The sequence below is a fragment of the Homo sapiens genome, chromosome 7 (assembly GCF_000001405.40).
Source record: "Homo sapiens chromosome 7, GRCh38.p14 Primary Assembly".
Lineage (NCBI taxonomy): Eukaryota > Metazoa > Chordata > Mammalia > Primates > Hominidae > Homo > Homo sapiens.
Window position 1 is genome coordinate 43,709,236 of NC_000007.14, and position 22,205 is coordinate 43,731,440.

The window sequence follows — 22,205 nt, forward strand, 5'->3', positions numbered from 1 at the left end:
CAGGATGGTCTCAATCTCCTGACCTCGTTATCCACCTGCCTCGGCCTCCCAAAGTGCTGGGATTACAGGTGTGAGCCACCATGCCCGGCCTATCTCCTATAATCTTTACTGTTTTGCCTTTCACAGGTAGATCTACAATCCACTGAGAATTCATTTGGGGTGTAATATGAGATACAGGTCTTGATTCACTTTGTTTTATTGTGTGTGTGTGTGTGTGTGTGTGTGTGTGTGTGTGTGTATACGCATGAACATGCATATATATAAAATGCTTCAGCACTATTTACTGAAATATATTGTCACCGTTCTGCACGTTATCTTTATAACAAATTAAGTATCTACATATTCACATGTCTATTTCTGTATTACTTATTCTGTCCCACCAATCTACTATACTAACCAAGACTGTTGTGTATCCCTGCACCAATATAACACTGTCTTTGTTAATCCAGTTTTATTTTTTTTAATTTCATATCTGATAAAACAAATTGTCCCACTTTATTCTTGAAGAGTATCTTGGCTCTTCTTGGCCTTCTGCACTGTCATATAAATTTATCTTTTAATGATGTGATAGCCCGTAACTAAATCTTATTAACACACTTAAAAAATATCATAAAGCCAGCCTAGAAGGGGTACCTAACTTGCCTGAGGGCCTAAGACTGCAAAACTTAGATTTGAACCTAGAAATGTCTCTGTGCAAAGTGCACACTTTTTCACTATTAACATCCTGCAAGGCTAAACTCACACATGAAAATGTTAAGCCTAAAAATAAAAATAAATGAAAGTAAAAATAACAATGAGCATTATTCCAACACCAACTCAAATTATTATGAGTTGCCAGATGCGGTGGCGCACACCTGTAATCCCAGCACTTTGGGAGGCTGAGGCAGGCGGATCACTAGAGGTCAGGAGTTTGAGACCAGCCTGGCCAACATGGTGAAACCCTGCCTCTACTAAAAATACAAAAATCAGCCAGGCATTGTGGCACATGCCTTAATCCCAGCTACTTGGGAGGCTGAGGCAGGAGAATCACTTGAACCTGGGAGGAGGAGGTTGCCATGAGCTGAGATCACACCACTGCATTCCAGCTTGGGTGAAAGAGCAAGACTCTGTCTCAAAAAAAAAAAAAAAAAAAAAAAAAAAATATATATATATATATATATTTTTAAGATATGTCCTAAACAGTTGATTTATTAATAGTTACTGCCTAAAGCCCAATGTTATAAAATATGGGTCATGTCTCATTCCCTTTCTAGAGCTACTAAGAAGATGAAATGGATAGCTCTTTGGTAGGTGAAGAATAGAAAAGATTTATGGATGATTCCCAGATGTCTGGCTTGAGTAAAGGATGTTTACAGAAGGAAAATAATATTTCTTTAACAACTAGGCAGTGCAGCAGGTGCTTGACATAAACTATCTCATTTTATTCTCCCAACTCCAATAGGTATTACTGGTGAACCAAATTACAAACAAACAATAGGATTCAGAAAGGTTAGGTAAACTTGTCCAAAGTGAAAAATAAATTACTGGATATCAGATCTTAACTGAAACCTCAGGTGCTAAGCCCTTTCCAAAACACCACAGTGCTGGTATCTGTGATATTTGTTTCACAACTGAGCTGAAAAACTAGATTTTCCACCAGGGAATATACAAGTGACACTAAAACAATAAGCAGCTGCCAGGGTTTCATTGTCATTAAATGTAGCAAGTCACATGGAAGCCTTTTGAGATAACTGCTCCAACCAGCAATCTTTAAGAACAATACTGTATTTGTTGATGGTTTTTTTTTTTCATTTTTGTAAAAAGATGTTGGATCCTTAATACATGTTAGAGCACATGTAATATCCCATCCCACATTTTTTACAATTTCAGTGCAGTGACAGCAGAAATCTTGTGGTTTGGTTCTTAACATATTCTGAGAGAAATTAAAATGAGGGTATTAAAGGCTCATGAAAAAATAAGGGTCACTAGCATACACCTGGGTGTAACTAATCAGAGACCAACAATTTCCATATATACATATATAAGAGAGCATGGTTAACTCAATGTAGGGAAATAATGTACCCACTTTATTATGTGCTCATCATACCACATCAGTAATACTAGATAACACAATAAGAACAACAGATCAACTACAGTAATATTCTTACCAAAGAGTAAGACTTACAATGCAGATTCCTGACCATTATTTAGAAAATCTCTGGCCAGAGCGAGACTCTGTCAAAAGAAAGAAAAAGAGAGAGAGAGAAAGAGAATCTCTGATCCATTGAGTCAAAAGGTGGGAATCTGCTTTTTAAAAAGTTTGTATTTTCACATGTATCAAATAGTCATGTGTCACCTAACAATCAGGATACATTCTAAGAAATGTATAGTTAGGCAATTTCATCATTGTGTGAACATCATAGCGTGTACTTACACAAACCTAGATGGTACAGCCTACAACACACCTAAGCTGTATGGTATGGCCTACTGCTCCTAGGCTATAAACAGGTACAGCATGTCACTGTACTGAATACTGTAGGCAATTATAACACAATGATAAGCATTTGTGTATCTAAACACAGAAAAGGTGCAGTACAAATATAGTACTATAATCTTATGGAACCAGTGTCATCTATGCAGTTCACTGCTGACTGAAATGTCACTAAGTGGCACATGACTGAACATATAATATATAAAATATATGTGTGAATACGAAGAGAAACTAATAACAATAAACTCCCAAGTGTCCACTACCCCTATTAAAACACGGACTTTTACCAAGACATTAAGACACCCTGATCCCATCCCCTTCCCTCCACCGAGGTAGCTATTATCCTGATTTAATCATTCCCTTGCTTTTCTTTTCTTCTTTTGTTTTTCTTCTATCCCTCCAGGGAAAAAGAAACTTTTTTTTTTGAGACAGAGTCTCACTCTGTCGCCCAGGCTGGAGTACAATGGCACAATCTCGGCTCACTGCAACCTCCACCTCCCGGGTTCAAGTGATTCTCCTGCCTCAGCCTCCAGAGTACCTGGGACTACAGGCGCCCACCACCATGCCCAGCTAATTTTTGTATTTTTGGTATAGACGGGGTTTTACCATGTTGGCCAGGCTGGTCTCCAACTCCTGACCTCAGGTAACCCACCTGCCTCGGCCCCACAAAGTGCTGGGATTACAGGTGTGAGCCACTACACTCATATTCCTCCAGAATTTTGAAGGCGGCATTGCTTCACTGCTTTCACACTTCCAGGGTGCTACATAGAAATCCAAAGTCATTCTGATTCCTGATCCTGTATATGTGATCTGGGTTTTTTTCACTCCAGAATCATCTCTTTACCACACGGTGTCCTGAAATTTCCTAATGATGGGCCCCAGTGTGGGTATATTTATTAGACTGAACACATGGCAGGCACATTCAATCTGCAAACTTCAATCTTCTACTGTTGGTCGTTTTCTTGAATTATTTTCACCTTTTCATTTCCCCTATTTTATCTGCAACTCAACTGTATAAACATTGAACCTCAGGAACAGTCAGCTAAGTGTCCTCTGTCTTTTTGCCTACTTCTTAGGAGATTTCCTGACCATTATCTTACAACCTTCCAAAGATTTTCATTTCCACTATCATGTTTTAAACTTTTTTCATTTTCTAGCTGGACTTTTTTTTTTATTGACACATTGTCATTACATATATTTGAGGGGTACAATTTGAGGTTTAAATACATATATATGGTTTTTTTGTCTTGTTTTCTTTTGCTATTTGAGACAGAGTCTCGTTCTGTCACCCAAGCTGGAGTGCAGTGGCGTGATCTCAGCTCACTGCAAACTTTGCCTCCTGGCTCAAGCAATTCTCCTGCCTCAGCCTCCCAAATAGCTGGGATGACAGGATGCACCACCATGCCTGGCTAATTTTTGTATTTTTAGTGGAAATGGGGTTTTGCCATGTTGCCCAGGCTGATCTTGAACTCCTGACCTCAAGTAATCTGCCCACCTTGGCCTCCCAAAGTGCTGGGGATACAGGCATGAGCCACCATGCCCAGCCTCAATACATATATATGTTATATAATGATCAAATCAGAGTATTTAGCATGTCCATCATCTCACGCACTTATCACTTCCTTCTGGTAAGAACACTCAAAAGCCTCTCTTCTAGCAATTTTGCTACAATACCTTACTATTAACCATAATCACCCTTCTGTGGAATAGAATACCAGAACTTATTCCTCCTAACTATAACTTTGTACTCATTTGAACGACCTCTCCCTACCTACCTTCCCCTCTCCCTGCCCAAGTCTCTGGTAAGTTTTATGGCTAGTCCTTTATAGAGCATCCTGTTTTTATTCATCTTCATCTCATCTCTCTGAATATATCTGTAATTGGGGTAGGAGATTGTTGGTAACTGTTTTTTTCCCCTGCAAAGTCTGTATTTCTTCCAAGTTGCTTTTTTGTTTTGCTTAATTCCCACCACCCACCTTTGATGCTGGATGCTTTCCTCAAATAACTGGTAATCCTTGGGTATTTGCTTATGATTAAGACTGGGGGTCTAGAGCTAGGTGCACTGGCTCAGGCCTGTAATTCCAGCACTTTGGGAGGCCAAGGTGGGCAGATCATTTGACATCAGGAGTTCGAGACCAGCCTGACCAACATGGTGAAAGCCTGTCTCTACTAAAAATACAAAAATTAGCCAGGCATGGTGGCGCACACCCATAATCCCAGCTACTCAAGAGGCTGAGGCAGAATTCCTTGAACCAAAGAGACAAAGGTTGCAGTGAGCCGAGATCACACCACTGCACTCTGTTTAAAAAATATATTAAAACACAGATGGCAGGAAAAAAAAATTAGCCAGGCACGGTGGTATGCACCAATAGTCCCAGCTACTCAGGAGGGAGGATCACTTGAGTCCGGGACTTCCAGGTTGCAATGAGGTAGGATCATGCCACTGCACTCCAGCCTGGGTGACAGAGCAAAACCATGTCTCTAAAAAAATTAAAAATAAAAATAAATAGTGAATCATCTTTTTGTAATAGAGTTATACTAAAACTTTAAAAGATTTTCTGTTTAAAAAATAAAGATACAATTATAAACCTATGGCTTATTACTAGTATGAACCAATACAGTATAAAAATTATATATTGAGGCTGGGTGTGGTGGCTCATACCTGTAATCCCAGCACTTTGGGAGGCCGAGGAGGGTGGATTGCCTGAGGTCAGGAGTTCAACGCTAGCCTGGCCAACATGGTGAAACCCCATCTCTACTAAGAAATACAAAAATTAGCCGGGTATGGTGGTGCAAGCCTGTAATCCCAGCTACTCGGGAGGCTGAGGCAGGAGAATTGCTTGAACCCGGGAGGCAGAGGTTGCAGTGAGCTGAGATAGTGCCATTGCACTCCAGCCTGGGCTACAAGAGCGAAACTCCATCTCAAAAAAAAAAAAAATTATATATTGAGAAAATGTATAAAAATGATTTGTATCTGACACAGACACGGGATACTAGAAGAAATTAAAAAAGAAACAATAGGGTGGGCACAGTGGCTCACATCTGTAATCCCAGCACTTTGGGAAACCAATGCAGATGGATCACTTGCAGCCAGGAGTTCGAGACCAGCCTGGCCAACATGGTGAAATCTCGTCTACTAAAACTACAAAAAATTTAGCTGGACATGGTGGTGCACACCTATAATCCCAGCTACTCAGGTGGCTGAGGCACAAGATCACTTGAGCCCGGGAGGTAGCAGTTGCAGTAAGCCAAGACTGCACCACTGCACTCCAGCCTGGGCAAAAGAGTGAGCCTCTTGTCTAAAAAAAAAAAAAAAAAAAAAAAAAAGGAAACATTTAATACAAAAATAAATGCCAAATAAAAATCATTCTAAAAACTGAAAGATAATACTGTATTTAGAAGTTATCATTCTTAATATGAAAGCTTGAAACACACCAAGTATTACTTGCCTTTTCCAATAGTCTTGAACTTTGTTTCATAATATTCCTGATACAGGAAAAAATTCATACATTTAACATTGACATTGATCAAATTAATCTGAGTGCATCAAACAGCATCTTTAAATTGAATGTTAAGGGTATGTTGCTTGGTGAAACTCCGTCTCTACTAAAAATACAAAAAAAAATGCCAGGCGTGGTGGCAAGCACCTGTAGTCCCAGCTACTCGGAAGGCTGAGGCAGGAGAATGGCGTGAACCCGGGAGGCAGACGTTGCAGTGAGCGGAGATCGTGCCACTGCACTCCAGCCTGGGCAACAGAGCAAGACTCTATCTCAAAAAAAAAAAAAAAGAGTATGTTGCTTCATATAAGCTTGTTTACCTTCTTAATGATTAACTATTTTGGCTGCCTCCTCTCATTTTTGTTTTGCCTTTGAATATTGCTTTCACTAATTTTAGATCAAGTTCTCATTTCATGTTGAAGTATCCCACAAAAACACTATATCTTTTTCTCTTGTAATTCCTCTCCTAAAGTATTTACAAAGGATGACAGTCTATAGTGAATATTTAAACTCAAAAACACCAACAAACACGGGTAGTATTTAGAGACACAATATAGCAAGAATAACACTACCTGATATGACTTGGCTCTGTGTCCCCACTCAAATCTCATCCTGAATCGTACTCCCATAATTCCCACGTGTTGTGGGAGGGACCCAGTGGGAGATAATCGAATCATGGGGGCAGTTTTCCGATAGTGAATAGCCTCAAGAGATCTGATGGTTTTATCAGGGGTTTCCGCTTTTGCATCCTCCTCATTCTCTCTTTGCCTGCTGCCATCCATGTAAGATAGGACTTGCTCCTCCTTGCCTTCTGCCATGATTGTGAGGCTTCCCCAGCCACATGGAACTGTAAGTCCAATTAAACCTCTTTCTTTTGTAAATTGCCCAGTCTCAGGTATGTCTTTATCAACAGCATGAAAACGGACTAATAAAGTAAATTGGTACCAGCAGTGGGGTGTTGTTGAAGATACCCAAAAATGTGGAAGTGACTTTGGAAGTGAGTAACAAGCAGAGGTTGGAACAGTTTGGAGGGCTCAAAAGAAGACACGAAAATGTGGGAAGGTTTGGAACTTCCTAGAGACTTGTTGAATGGATTTGACAAAAATGCTGATAGTGATATGAAGAGTAAGGTTCCAAGCTGAGGTGGTCTCAGATGGAGATGAGGAACTTGTTGGGAACTGGAGCAAAGGTGACTCCTGTTATGTTTTAGCAAGAGACTGGCAGCATTTTGCCCCACCCTAGAGATTTGTGGAACTTAGAACTTGAGAGAGATGATTTTTAGGGTATCTAGCAGAAGAAATTTCTAAGCAGCAAAGCATTCAAAAGGTAACTTGGGTGCTGTTAAAAGCATTCCATTTTAAAAGGGAAACAGGGCATAAAAGTTCAGAAAATTTACAGCCTGACAATGTGATAGGAAAGAAAAGCCCATTTTATGAGGAGAAATTCAAGCTGGCTGCAGAAATTTGCAAAAGTAGCAGGGAGCCCAATGTTAATCACCAAGACCATGGGGAAAATGTATCCAGGCCATGTCAGAGACTTTCACGGCAGCCCCTCCCATCACAGGACGAGAGGCCCAGGAGGAAAAAGTGGTTTTGTGGTCCAGGCCCAAGGTCCCCATGCTGTGTGCAGCCTAGGAACTTGGTGCCCTGTGTCCCAGCTACTCCAGCTGTGGCTGAAAGGGGCCAATGCAGAGCTTGGGTTGTGGCTTCAGAGAGTGGAAGCCTCAACCTTGGCAGCTTCCACATGGTGGTGAGTCTACAGGCACACAGAAGCTAAGAACTGAGGTTTGGGAACCTCCACCTAGATTTCAGAAGATGTATGGAAATGTATGGAAGCCCAGGCAAAAGTCTGCTGCGGGGTGGGGCCCTCATGGAGAACCTCTGCTAGGGCAGTGCAGAAGGAAAATGTGGGGTTGGAGCCCCCACACAGAGTCCCTACTGGGGCACTACCTAGTGAAGCTGTGAGAAGAGGGCCACCATCCTCCAGACCCCAGAATGGTAGATCCACTGACAGCTTGCACCATCCACCTGGAAAAGTCACAGACACTCAATGCCAGCCTATGAAAGCAGCCTGGAGGGAGGCTATGCCCTGCAAAGCCACAGGGGTGGAGCTACCCAAGACCATAGGCAGCTCCAACAGCATGACCCAGATGTGAGACCTGGAGTCAAAGGAGATCATTTTGGAGCTTTAAAATTTGACTGCCCCGCTGGATTTCAGACTTGCATGGGCCCTGAAACCCCTTTGTTTTGGCCAATTTCTCCTATTTGGAATGACTATATTTACCCAATACCTGTAAACCCATTCTATCTAGGGAGTAATTAGGTTGCATTTGATTTTACGGGCTTATAGGCAGAAGGGACTTGCCTTGTCTCAGATGAAACTTTGAACTGTGAACTTTTGGGTTAATGCTGAAATGAGTTAAGATTTTGGGGGACTGTCGGGAAGGCATGATTGGTTTTGAAATGTGAGGACATGAGATTTGGCAGGGGCCGGGGGGGGAACAATATGGTTTGGCTCTATGTCCCTATTCAAATCTCATCTTGAATTGTACTCCTATAATTCCCATGTGTTGTGGGAGGGACCCAATGGGAGATAACTGAATCATGGGGGCGGTTTCCCCCATACTTTTCTTGTGGTAGTGAATAAGTCTCACAAGATCTGATGGTTTTATCAAGGGTTTCCACTTTGCATCTTTCTCATTCTCTCTTTGCCTGCTGCCATCTATGTAAGACAGGACTTGCTCCTCTTTGCCTTCCACCATGACTGTGAGGATTCCCCAGCCACATGAGACAGTAAGTCCAGTTAAACCTCTTTCTTTTGTAAATTGCCCAGTCTCAGGTATGTCTTTATCAGCAGTGTGAAAACGGACTAATATACTACCATACAGAATAATATATTGTACTGCCAACTTTAGGACTTATTTTGCTTTCAAATTTTTTATTTCTTGAAACACCACTAATAGCGTTTATATGAAGTGGACTATGCATACAAATGTATTATTATTTATTTGTAAGAATAACTGTTAGCAGCAGATAGAGTATAAAAACACATTTATTTATAAGATGGCAACAGCTATGAGACTGGCTGTCTAGATCACAAGCTTATCTCCTAGATGCTCTTGTCTCAGCTCCCAGAGATGTACAACTTAAGGTTTTAGTCGGTGTCAGCATGTCCTGCTCTTGCTTTCCACTTGACATCAGTGGAGCTCTAAGAACCAATCACATCTAATACTATTGACCACAGATCTTTAATTCTCATGAAAATGATTCTGTTTTCCCAATTTGGAATTACCAGTAACTTTCCTCAGGGTTTGGGATTTAAAATAACATACAAATTTCCTGAGAAATTCTGGGAGTGACTTCCCATACAGAAACATAACTTTATCCAGAGATCATCTGCTCTGAACCTCCAGAATCTGTCCCAAGGTGAATAGTATGCATTGGGAGAGTTGTTTCTTAGCAACAATTATCCAATCTTCCTTATTTCATGTCTTTTGCACCTCAATTTTCAGAGATACTTGGCTTTGCTACTTCTTGAGCTTTATGAGGATTTAGAGGATAAATCTGATTGGTTCATAGTTTTTCCCTCTGCCAACTCAGGATTCATAAGTCTTGGGTGTCAGTTAATTTCGACTCATTCTTAGGCTTTTCAGTACTCTACACTATGTTGATGTTGTCTATTTTCCATGTCCATTGGGTTTTTACTGCAGTTTTAATGGGGTTTCAACAGGGAGCAAGATTAGAAGTAGATTCAATCTACCAGGAATCTACATTTTTTTTTTTTTTTTGAGATGGAGTCTCACTCTGTCACCCAGGCTGGAGTGCAGTGGCGTAATCTCAGCTCACCGCAAGCTCCACCTCCCAGGTTCAAGCAATTCTCCTGCCTCAGCCTCCCAAGTAGCTGGGATTACATGCGCCACCACACCCAGCTAATTTTTGTATTTTTAGTAGAGACGAGGTTTCACCATGTTGGCCAGGTTGGTCTCGAACTCCTGACCTCAAGTGATCTGCCCAGCTCAGCCACCCAAAGTGCTGGGATTATAGGCATGAGCCACCACACCTGGCCAAGAAGAGCTTCTTAATAAATAAAACTATCTCCAGCAGGAATGAACTGCCTTGGAAACAAGAAACTCAAGCACAGACTGCACAACTATTACTTATTAGGGATGCCACTAATAGCCTCTAAGCCCCAGATGGCTGTATAGTCCAAGTGGTTAGTGAGGCAAGGCTGTCATACAGAAAAATCAAAGTTAATAAATAATGAAATGCTAGAAGAATGAAATTACAAAAATAAAGTCAAACTAAGTGAGAGCTACCAAATATAAAGGATTATCCACAACTAACAGTATTACAGGTAATCACTGTCGAGTTCTAAATTTCCTTTTCTATTAGAACATAACTTTCCCCACACACCGAATCTGTACTCAGGTGTGCATTTATCCCTAGATTCAGTCTGAGGAGTTGAAAAGTGACAAAGGGATGGATGGCTTCCTGACTACTATGAAAATGTCCCCTGACCCACATATTTCAATATAGTATTAAGCCTTGTTTTCATTACCTGAAATGTATGTTTGCTTACAAACAGGTTTCCTTGAATCTATTCTCCCCACCTCCTCCAATCAAGGAGCAAAGAGAACACCAGAGAAGCTGGAGCACAGTGAACAAGGGGAAACTGGCATGAGATGAGACTATAACAGAAAGAAGAGAGGCCACATCACAGAACAGGGAGGAGGGAGGAATGTTGTGGGTCAAGTTAAATATTTGGGGTTTATTCTACGTAAAATAAAAAGTAAAAGGCCAGGCATGGTGGCTCACACCTGTAATCCCAGCACTTTGGGAGGCCAAGGTGGGCGGGTCACTTGAGGTCAGGAGTTCAAGACCAGCCTGGCCAACATGGTGAAACCCCATCTCTACTAAAATCATAAAAATTAGCCAGGCATGGTGGCGGGCACCTGTAATCCCAGCTACTCGGGAGGCTGAGGCAGGAGAATTGCTTGAAACCGGGAGGAAAGATTGCAGTGAGCCAAGATCGCACCACTGCACTCCAGCCTGGGCAACAAAGCAAAACTCTGTCAAAAAAAAAAAGGAAAAAAAGAGTTCCAATGCTCAGTATAATTTTGTGTTTTTATTGTGGGAAGCAGTAATGTTGCATCCCTGCCTTTCCTCTTTATTAAGCGTTTTATCTAAGTATGATGGACTAGAAAGGATAAAATCAACATGGTCCCCTTCCTTTTTCTTTTTTTTTCAGAAACTTACAAACTTTCTCACAAACTTGTTTAAGAATAAAAATATGGGGAGTGACATGATCAGATTTTACATTTTTTAAAAATGGCTGCTGTGTGAAAAATAGGGGTAATAATATATCCTGGCAGATCAATTAGGAAGCAGTATATCTAGGTGAAAAATCATTGTTCTGTGCAACGAGAGAGGTAAAGATGAAGTGGCCATATTTGAAAATATTTAGGAGGTAGAATTTAGAGAACACTGAGAGGTCTTAAAGTGACCCTGGATATTACTCAGGAGCCTCTGGATGAATGGCAGCCCCAGTCCCTAGGGAAGTATATACTGCCAGACATTAAGTTGCTGGAAGTATAAAGAAAAAGAGAATCCATTTTTTGGATGGGTTAGCTTCGAAAACCTATGAGTCACCTAAGTGCAAATGTCTCACAAGCTTCCTCTTCATCATTTCTCACTGAACATCTCCATTAAGGCTTCACAATCAGGATGCTGGCAATTAGAACCTGTATCTTTCTTCCATGGCTGCTCCATTTACTGATCAATGCCACCAACTACCAGAGATGTTATAAAGGGATTCCTACATGTGATAGAGAAGGCTGAAACATAAAACATCTGAAGTCACACTGATAAGCCTCTATTACTCACAGATTCATCCACAACACTGGAGTTATTCCCGCTACAAAGGTTAACCTTAAGGAAAGAGTTAATTCATAATTCTGCAAACACTGAAAACAAATACAAATGTATTAAGGAATACTTTTATCCATAGACTGCTTTACTAGTAACATTACAAGAATAAGATGAATTTTGAAATAGACTTTAAAAAATAATTTCAATAGTTAAATGTCAGTTCTTAATTAACCATCTTGATTTTCTGATGTAAAAAATGTACAGCAATTATCGTCCAGCTGACAAAAAGCCACAATCTTTATTAGTAAATCCTATTATATAGCACAACACTGCCACCTGTTGGAAGAGATAACTAGCCAAATGTTTTTATTCCTAAACACTAAATGCATGAGAAAGTTTATGAATTTCTCAAAAAAAAATGAAGAGACTGTTGACTTTATCCTTTCTAGCCCAACATGCTTAGATTAAATCCCTAATAAAGAGGAAAAGCAAGGATGTAATGTAACTGCTTCCCACAATAAAAACACAAAATGGCATTTACTTTTTGGTTTTGGTTATTTGGGTAAGGGGAAGATTTAACCATGAAGAGATAGCACTAGGGAGTTTTTGAGGTGAGGCAACTATTCTGCATCCTGACTATGGTGTTGGTTATAGAAATCAGTACATGGGTTAAAATTTATAATATAAAAAGTTTATTTTACTGTACGGTAATTTAAAAAAAAAACAAGGTAAGAGAATACAAATACTCAGTACCATGGGAAAAGTCGTAAGTTATAATGTGAAAGTATTCACATAAATTTCAAAGTTTTGCTACTTATAGCTCAAAGGCTTGAAGCCCAAAAAACATTAGAAAGATTCTAATGTAATACTGCATGCTGACATACTTAAATATGGATGTAGAAGTGTTTCTAAAGACTACCATTGCACACCAGAAGTCAATCTTTGCCCCTAGCACAGAACATTTCAATGAGAGGAACAATCTATAACCAAAAGTTAGGACATTCACCGTTGATTCTGGTAACTTTTTTTTTTTTTTTTTGAGACAGGGTCTCACTCTGTCACTCAGGCTGGAGTGCAGTGGCGCCACTGCAACTCACTACAGCCTCGACCTCCCAGACTCAGGTGATCTTCCCACCTCAGCCTCCTGAGCAGCTGGAACCAAAGGTGTGCACCACCATGCCCAGCTAGTTCTTTTGTATTTTTAGTAGAGAGATGGGGTTTCGCCACTTTGCCCAAGCTGGTCTCAAACTCCTGGACTCAAGTGATCTGCCCACCTTGGCCCCCCAAAGTGCTGGGATTACAGGCATGAGCCACCACGCCTGGCTAGGAAATGCTTTTCCCTACGACAAAACGAGAGTCTCGTTCTATCGCCCAGGCTAGAGTGCAATGGCACAATCTCAGCTCCCTGCAACCTCTGCCTCCCAGGTTCAAGAGATTCTTGTGCCTCGTACCAGCTGCGAGTAGCTAGGACTACAGGCACATGCCATCACGCCCAGCTAATTTTTGTATTTTTAGTAGAGACGGGGTTTCACCATGTTGGCCAGGCTGGTCTGGAACTCCTGATCTCAAGTGATCCGACTGCCTTGGCCTCCCAAAGTGCTGGGATTACAGGCATGAGCCACCACGCCCAGCTAGTACATTCTTTATGTGATTGCATTTCATCTCCCTCAAAAAGCTGGTGCATAAACAGGGAAAGTTGGGTGCTTGGCATCTATGTAATCTTGGTATTTGCTAGATCACTTATGAATGCAAGTGACATCAAAGTTCCACGAGATCTGGAACATCTAAGTCCATCTGGGGACCTTTCCAGTACATTTGCAAATGCCAAATGTCTTAAGGCACCAAGAGCCCACAAGATAAAAGATCACCAGAGTCCAAATGACAGAGACCCAAACTAAGAGCAAAAGTCACATTAAGATACCAGTTCCTCCCATCTCTCCTGATAATATACTTGCTGTTAATAAAATGATATGGGTTGTAAAGTAATAATGAAATATTAAACTGAGACCTTATGAAAGCTGTTGCAATGGGAGGGAGAGGTTGGTAGAAAGGGTGTAACACATATAATCCTCTACCCTTTATCCCTTAGGGCTGCCCTTAAGCCATCCTGTTCCCAGGATCTGGCAGCTACATGCAATCTTAGTTTTCTAAGTTTTGGTTGAGCCACACTGTTGTCTGTTTTTCTACATTTTCCCAGTGATCCCTGGGAGGTCACAGCTATTCAAATGGATTGCAGTACCCACAATAATTTGCAGTTCCAACAACAGGAGAATAGTTGAAAAAAGAATGATACAGTCGTAAAAGAGAATAATGCTGGTCATCTCCTAATCTTCAACTAATGACATGGTTATATTTGCATTGAGGGAGGTAAACTTGCCTGTCAGAAGCAGCAATAGTCACAGCACACCAGGGTAATTGCCAAAGCATCCAAATGGAGCAGTAGTATGATACCGGAATAATTCACAGACTTTTGGAACTATACAAGTTTGCAAACTCACCTCCATTTTAGAGTCTGTCATGATGGGTAATTTCCCCAAAAAGACTAAAAACACAGAAAGCATTAAGAAAAAAAAAAGGCCAGGCAAGGTGGCTCACACCTGTAATCCCAGCACTTTGGGAGGCTGAGGTGGGCGGATCGCTTGAGCTCAGGAGTTTGAGCCCAGCCTGGGCAACATGGCAAAATCCCATCTCAACAAAAAATATAAAAATTAGCCCGGCGTGGTGGCATGTGCCTGTAGTCCCAACTACTTGAGGGGCTAAAGCAGGAGGATCACTTGAGCCCATGAGGTCAAGGCTGCACTGAGCCATGTTCATGGCACTGCACTCCAGCCTGGGTGACAAAGTGAGACCCTGTCTCAAAAAACAAAAACCAAAAAATCTTGGATCATAGAGATGTTTACAATTTGGAAAACTATCCATGATAAACTTTTTATTTAGTCTGAATTGCAATAATTTTAAAACTCAAAGATCTCCAAGTCCTAATACAAAAACACCTACACCCCTTCAAGTAGGAAATAGTCCTTTGGAAAGGTAAACGTGATAATCCATGCCTAAATTACACAATTCCTTTAAATCTCATCTTTTATGCAAATAACAAAAACACTAAAGCATACGGGCAGTTCCTCAAAAAAATCAACAGAATTACCCTACAATCCAGCAATTCCACTTCTGGATACGTATACCTAAAAGAACTGAAAGCACAGCCAGGCGCGGTGGCTCACACCTGTTATCCCAGCACTTTGGGACACTGAGGTGGGCGGATCCCTTGAGGTCAGGAGTTCAAGACCAGCCTGGCCAACATAGCAAAACCCTGTCTCTACTAAAAATATAAAAATTAGCCTGCGTGGTGGTGCACGCCTGTAGTCCCAGCTACTCGAGAGGCTGAGGCAGGAGAATCACTTGAACCAGGAGGCAGAGGTTGCAGTGAGCCAAGATCACACCACTGCACTCCAGCCTGGGAGACAGAGCAAGACTCCATCTCAAAGAAAAAAAAAAAAAGAATTGAAAGCAGGAACTCAGACATTTGTATACCAATGTTCACAGCAGCACTATTCACAATAGCCAAAAGGTGGCAACAACCCAAATATCTATCGACTAATGAATGGATAAACAAAATGTGTTCTATGGAATACAATGTAATACTATTCAGTCTTTAAAAAAATGAAAATTCCAACACATGCCACAACATGAATTAACCTTGAAGACATGCTAAATGAAATAAACCAGACTCAAAAGGACAAATATTTTATGATTCCACTTTTATGAGGACCCTAGAATAGTCACATTCATAGACAGAAAATATAATGGTAGTTGCCAGGGACTGGAAAGAGGGAGGAACGGAGATTTATCATTTAATGGGTGCAGTGTGTGGAGATAAAAGTGCTCTGGGTCGGGCGCAGTGGCGCACGCCTGCAATCCCAGCACTTTGGGAGGCTGAGGTGGGCAGATCACCTGAGGTCGAGAGTTCAAGACCAGCATGACCAACATGGAGAAACCCCGTCTGTACTAAAAATACAAAATTAGCTAGGTGTGGTGGCGCATGCCTGTAATCCCAGCTACTCGGGAGGCTGAGGCAGGAGAATCACTTGAACCCGGGAGGTGGGGGTTGCGGTAAGCTGAGAACACGCCACTGCACTCCAGCCAGGGCAACATGAACGAAACTCCATCTCAAAAAAAAAAAAAGAAAAAGAAAAAAGTGTTCTGGAGATAGATGGTGGTTATGGTTACACAACAATGTTAAAGTACTTAATGGCACTGAACTGTATCTTTACAAATAGTTAAAATGGCCAATTTTATGTTATGTATATTCTATCACAATTTTAAAAAAGAAAAGACAAAACACTGAAACAAGAAACACACAGTTCTAACTGGAATCAAGCCAAGGGGAAAGAATGAAATCTTGGCCATTATATGTAAACAGAGAGATGCAATTTTTTTCTGGAAGCTATTGTATATCACTTTCCTTAGATTCTCAAAATGCTCAGTTTCTAAAAATACTTTTACTACTGGCTGGGCGCAATGGCTCATGCCTATAACCCCAGCACTTTAGGAGGCCGAGGCGGTGGATCACCTGAGGTCAGGAGTTCCAGACCAACCTAGCCAGCATGGTGAAACCCCGTCTCTACTATAAAACAAAAAAATTAGCTGGGCATGGTGGCAGTCACCTGTAATCTCAGCTACTCAGGAGGCTGGGGCAGGAGAATCACTTGAACCCAGGAGGCGGAGGTTGCAGTAAGCCGAGATCGCACCATTGCACTCCAGCCTGGGTACCAAGAGCGAAACTCCATCTCAAAAAATATATATATTATATATATACTATATATATTACTACTACTGCCTTTTAACCAACAAAATTAAAAAAATACAAAACAATGTTAATAGGATTTTATAAAACTACTTTTTCCAACATGCCCCAAACAATACAGAACACAATAGCTACACTCAACCTCTGCATACATTAAATAATCTTCAAATAAATGCCTGCTAGTATGAAAAAAGTACCTACTATTTGGTGACCAACTGTCCAATATGGCTCTCACAAATCTAATGCAGCATATGAAACATGAACAAGAGGATAAAAGAATAACTTCTTGGAGTCTGTTTAAAATAGAGAGTTAAATGAACAAAGTTGAAGCAGATCATGGCACATTTTTCAAGGCAGAGAGACAGGGAGGCAACAATGTCTGAAACAATGAACACTCTTAGGCTAAATATACCACCAGGGACTCAGATGTCACACTAACTGGGAACTACTATGTCAGTTTCTATAACTCCTATAATTAAAGAACAATATCCTAAACTATTAGCCAGAAGGCTTTTAGAGGCAAAGTCCTGACTACACAAAAATGTAAAACAATATAGTAAAAAATATAAAACAAAGTTAACTAAATAGATTGAAAATATCTGCCACATATCTAACAGTCAATGGCTTAAATCCCTACACAAAGAACTCCTAAAAATCAATAAAGACAAAACTCCATACGGAATGGCAAATTATAAAGTTTTTCCTTGCTTCATTTTTCAAGTCTTAAAATGCTCCTCACGGGTTCTTTCACAGCATTTTTCCTGGGCCTGGCCTCCCACGTAGTTGTTGGAAAACCATCACTCTCTAAACCACAGCCACATACCCATAAGGAGGTCTCCAGGGCTACAAAAAATTAATCTCATGTGCTTTTCATTTAAAAGAACGGTAGCATAATCTAAAAGACTATCACATATCTGATAAATGACTTGTATCTAGAATATATAAAGAACTCTTGCAACTCAATTACAAAAAAGAACCTAATTTAAAAATGGGCAGAGGATCTGAGTACACATTTCTCCAAAGAAGATAAATAAATGGGCAATAAGCACTTGAAAAGATGCTCAACATCATTAGCCATCAGGGAAATACGATTTGAAACCATAATATTTTCAAAAAGTTAGGAGATTTTTAATGGTCGCAACACAAAGAAAAGATGAACGTTTCAGGTGGTGGACATACTAATTACCTGATTTGATCACTACACATTGTATACATTTATCAAAATATCACTCTGTAGTCCCTAAATATGTACAATTATTACATGTCAACGAAAAAGAATGAAAACACAATGACACACACTTCACACCCACTGGAATGGCTAGAATCAGAAAGACAGATAATGACAAGTGTTGGCAAGGAGTGAGAAATCAAAACCCTAATACACTACTGGTGCGAATGTTAAAAAGATGCACACTGATGCTTTGGAAAACAGTCTGACCATTTCTTAAAATGTTAAACAGAGCTACCATATGACCCAGCCATTTCACTCCTAGGCACATACGCAAGAGAAATGAAAACATGATGTCCACACAAAAACTTGTAGGTGAATGTTCACAGCAGCATTACACATAATGGCCAAAAGGTGGAAACAATCCAAACGTCCACTAACTAATGGAAAATAAATCGTGGTAATACCCATAAAAGATTAACCAGCAATAAAAAAAAGTACTGACACATGCTATTAAATACAACACAGATGAACATGAATGTTAAGTAAAAGAAGCCAGTTGAAAAAGACCACATGCTGTATGATTTCACTCACATGAATAATCCAGAATAGTCAAATATACAGTCAGTCAATTCATAGTTGCTTAGGGCTTAGAATGGGGAGTGGGGATGGGGAAGTCAGGTGAGCCTGCTGAATAAGTACAGGGTTTCCTTTTGGAGTGATGAAAATGTTCAATTGTTCCAATATGGCTCTCACAAACTGAATGCAGCATATTAAACATGAACAAAAGAATACAAGAATAACTTATTGGAGTCTGTCTGAAATAGAAAATTAAACCAACTAATGAAGGTGAAGAAGATTACAGCATATTTTATGATGATGGTTGTACAACTTTGTGAATGTACTAATGTACTAATTACTTTTAGGTTTTCTTTCTTTTTTTTTTTTTTTGAGATGGAGTCTAGCTCTCTCGCCCAGGCTGGAGTGCAGTGGCGCAATCTCGGCTCACTGCAAGCTCCACCTCCCGGGTTCACACCATCCTCCTGCCTCAGCCTCCCAAGTAGCTGGGACTACAGGCTCCCGCCACCACGCCCGGCTAATTTTTTGTATTTTTAGTGGAGACGGGGTTTCACCGTGTTAGCCAGGACGGTCTTGATCTCCTGACCTCGTGATCCACCCGCCTCGGCCTCCCAAAGTGCTGGGATTACAGGCGTGAGGCACCGCTACGTTTTAAATGGTGAACTCTACGGTAGGTGAACTATGTGTCAGGAAGCTGTTTTATTTTTTTAAAGGACTGAAGACTTTTGTTTTGTGTTTTGTTTTGTTTTCATTTTATCCCGTTTTTAAAACAGTGCCTAGCAATATTATGAATTCAATCGATTTTGGCTAAATGCTAGAACAAAAATTAAAACTTGAGTAAACCATATAAAACTTTGCCATATCTAAAGTTATTAAATTACCGTAGACTGGCATGGTGGGAGCATAATATGAGTGTACCTGCAGGTGTGTTTTCCATGAAAGTAGCAAAGACTGAAAAACTCAGCAGAATCAAGACCCTGTAGGCCCTTGAAGTTAGGCTAAGAAATGTGTATTATCCTGAAAGCAACGGGAAGGCCAGGAAGATTCTGAGGACAGAAATAACACAATCTGATATGCGTTTTAAACGTGCAGGTGTAAGCGGAGAGTTGCTACTTCTATCCAAACGTGAGCCACCTCAGAAATAAAGCAATAGCCCTCCGGGGAGAATGGGGAGGAATCAGGGGAAGACCGGAGAAACAGGTTATCAAATTATCAGAATCTCCATAGATTTTTTTAAATTACACAGCATCCACCCCCAAACACACATACAGACTGATAGGCACTGATATATACATAAATACATCCAATGTCCCCTACACAGAAAATCACTTTTGCAGTCAGCCCCTGTTGGGAGGGTTTTTCTGTTATTCAAGTGTGGTGGGGACAAAAAGTATTATAACCACTAAACCAGGTAATTCTTTCCTACAATAATTTGGGCAGCGTACTCCTCAGGGTGTTGAAATTTAGCACTACCAACAAAAGTGCCCAGTCCCAACTCTTCGAGAGGACCCTAACTCTTTACAGTGTGCTGTTGGGGATGGTCAGCAAAAACTGCAGGACAAGGTCAAGGTTAGCTCGACACAGCCTCCTAACTCCGAGCGGACGGAGCCACTGAAGGTTACCAGGTGCCAAAGAAGCTGCGCAGGGAGGCCGCGACCCGGCGCCGGCGCGAACCTCCGCGATGTGACCCGTGAGGGAACTCTCCAAGAAGCAGCGCACCCCGCGCGCAAAGGCGGCCCCCCGAATTGCAGGAACAAACGCTTCTTGCTGGGGGGAAGACGGAGACTCTTATACCGCGGGAGACTAACCTGTGAGCAACAGAAGCACCACGCTACAAAGAGCATGACGAGTTCTTCCAGGCTTGGGAAAGCACGGGTAAATGCCCGCGGTCCTGCGCGCCAGCGGGGAGCAGTAGAGACTTCCGGCGTCGGCTGCTCGCAGGGCTAGAGCGTCGAACCGGGACAACCGGAGGCTTCAGCTCACCTCGGATTGTAAATGCTAACACGGGTCCTCCGGCCGGCTGATCCAGAACTTAGGTCGCCGGGACGTGTGGCTTCTGCTTCTCAGACGCTCGGACTCGCGCCGGGAAGGGTTTCGCCTCCCCTGGTCCCCGCTTTTTTTTTTTTTTTCTGCGTCCGGTTATTGCAAATGCATTCAGTCCAGTAGCACTAGCCCAGGAAATATAAGCCACCGGCTCACGTTGCTCCTCACAGGTATGCGGCGCTTCCGCTGGCCTCCAAGGACACGAAGCCCCGGGCCGTCTGGCCCCCCACTCTAGCACTGAAATTCCTGCCGCCCCGTTCAGCTGACAAATTTGGCAGCACTAAATTTTATTTTATTCGACAAATTAAGTACCCAGTTAACACCAGGGAGTAACGGGGTAAGAAAATTTCAGAAGGCTGGTGGATAATAATAGCATTTACCTCATAAATTTGTTATGAGGATGTGAAGCACTTAGAGTAGTGTCTGGCAGTTTGTAGGCGCTCAGTAACTGTTAGCTGTTATTATTTTTATATTGATTATTCCATAGTCACCACTATTATCACCTTAATGTCAAGCTTGAAATCCAGTATCTTTCCTCTGCGAAGCCATCACTCCAAGACTAATTAACTTTAGACTGGGGCATTCTTCTTTAAACTCTTGCTCACACATCCCTATCAGAAAAAATATATATATATTTACATGTGTCATGTATGGCATTAATATATTATGCATGCTATAAAACTCACAAGACATCAAACTTTTGATGAGGTAAAAACAATTTTTAAACTTTTTTAAAAACTTCTAACAGAAGTTCTTTTCTTCCTCCACAACAATTAGGTTGCCAAACATACATTCTATCACTCTGGAATCCACTAGCTAAATGAGCACATTATCAAAGCAACCTACCGCTGAATTCTGACTTCCCAGAATGTTTCTTTTCCAAAGAATTAATAGAAACTAATCAGATTGTGAAGTGCTCGGCCATAAGGACTATTTAAATGGTTCTTAGAGAAAAAGAAGAAATAAAATAGGCATCCACTGAGTAATATTCATTGATGCAACATTGATTATTGACTTATTACATTTTCAAAGAGATTGAGGTTATAATACCTTACACCAAGCTTAATATTTCAAAGAATAAATCAACTAATAAAAAGCTTATGAGGTTTGGTATATGTGCATTTCATACAACGTTCATGAAAATGAACCCGAGATCAATTAGCTCCCGTTCTGTACCAGAAAGAGAAATATGTTTACTTTGTAAGTAATAAAACATTAAATAGGCTTTTCTGACCATTTGCTTGAAAACTCAGAACTTAACATTTCTATCACTGGACTTAAATCTGCTAAAGTTTTCGTCTAAATTTTACATTAAAAACAAAACTCTATAGTGAATAATGTTACCTATCCAATATTCATTTTCCTCTAACTCCTTTGTACCAAAATCCTTATTTTATTCAGATAGCTGCCCTGTTCCCAGAATCAAAATGATACTGATTAAACCAGTCATCACACAGAATTTTTTTGTCGTCTAAATTTTACATTAAAAACAAAACTCTATAGTGAATAATGTTACCTATCCAATATTCATTTTCCTCTAACTCCTTTGTACCAAAATCCTTATTTTATTCAGATAGCTGCCCTGTTCCCAGAATCAAAATGATACTGATTAAACCAGTCTTCACACAGAATTTTTTTGGAAATAGTTGCTAATCAAGGAACGAGTATATGACCCAGGTTGGCGCAATCTGACTGAAGGAAAGGACCTCTATTTCATGCTCAGGAGAAAGTTTCTGATATACTGTCCTCTTGACGTCGAAACATCTATCCCACACTG

The 22,205-nt window shown here is 40.8% G+C and overlaps 1 protein-coding gene across 74 annotated transcripts in view, besides 3 other annotated features; it reads right to left on the bottom strand.

Annotated features, from left to right (window-relative positions):
• Positions 1 to 20,288, bottom strand: part of COA1 (cytochrome c oxidase assembly factor 1) — a 121,067-nt gene extending 100,779 nt beyond the window's left edge. For 65 of the 74 annotated variants that reach the window (NR_146943.2, NR_146940.2, NR_146945.2 and 62 more), the window contains exon 1: positions 20,194 to 20,288. The gene's annotated coding sequence lies outside the window, so the exon portion shown is untranslated. Of the gene's footprint in view, positions 1 to 2,147; positions 2,215 to 20,007 lie in introns of all 74 variants that reach the window. The other 9 variants (XR_007060103.1, NR_163918.1, NR_146941.2 and 6 more) reach the window with 3 other exon arrangements.
• Positions 19,574 to 20,303: an enhancer, noted in NCBI's record as "H3K27ac hESC enhancer chr7:43768408-43769137 (GRCh37/hg19 assembly coordinates)". NCBI's record gives its function as "activates a minimal SCP1, AML or CMV promoter by ChIP-STARR-seq in naive H9 embryonic stem cells {active_cell/tissue: H9 hESC(naive)}" and the evidence as "EXISTENCE:reporter gene assay evidence [ECO:0000049][PMID:30033119]".
• Positions 20,304 to 21,032: an enhancer, noted in NCBI's record as "H3K27ac hESC enhancer chr7:43769138-43769866 (GRCh37/hg19 assembly coordinates)". NCBI's record gives its function as "activates a minimal SCP1, AML or CMV promoter by ChIP-STARR-seq in naive H9 embryonic stem cells {active_cell/tissue: H9 hESC(naive)}" and the evidence as "EXISTENCE:reporter gene assay evidence [ECO:0000049][PMID:30033119]".
• Positions 20,399 to 20,598: an enhancer, noted in NCBI's record as "active region_25914". NCBI's record gives its function as "activates an Ori minimal core promoter by ATAC-STARR-seq in GM12878 lymphoblastoid cells {active_cell/tissue: GM12878}" and the evidence as "EXISTENCE:reporter gene assay evidence [ECO:0000049][PMID:35858748]".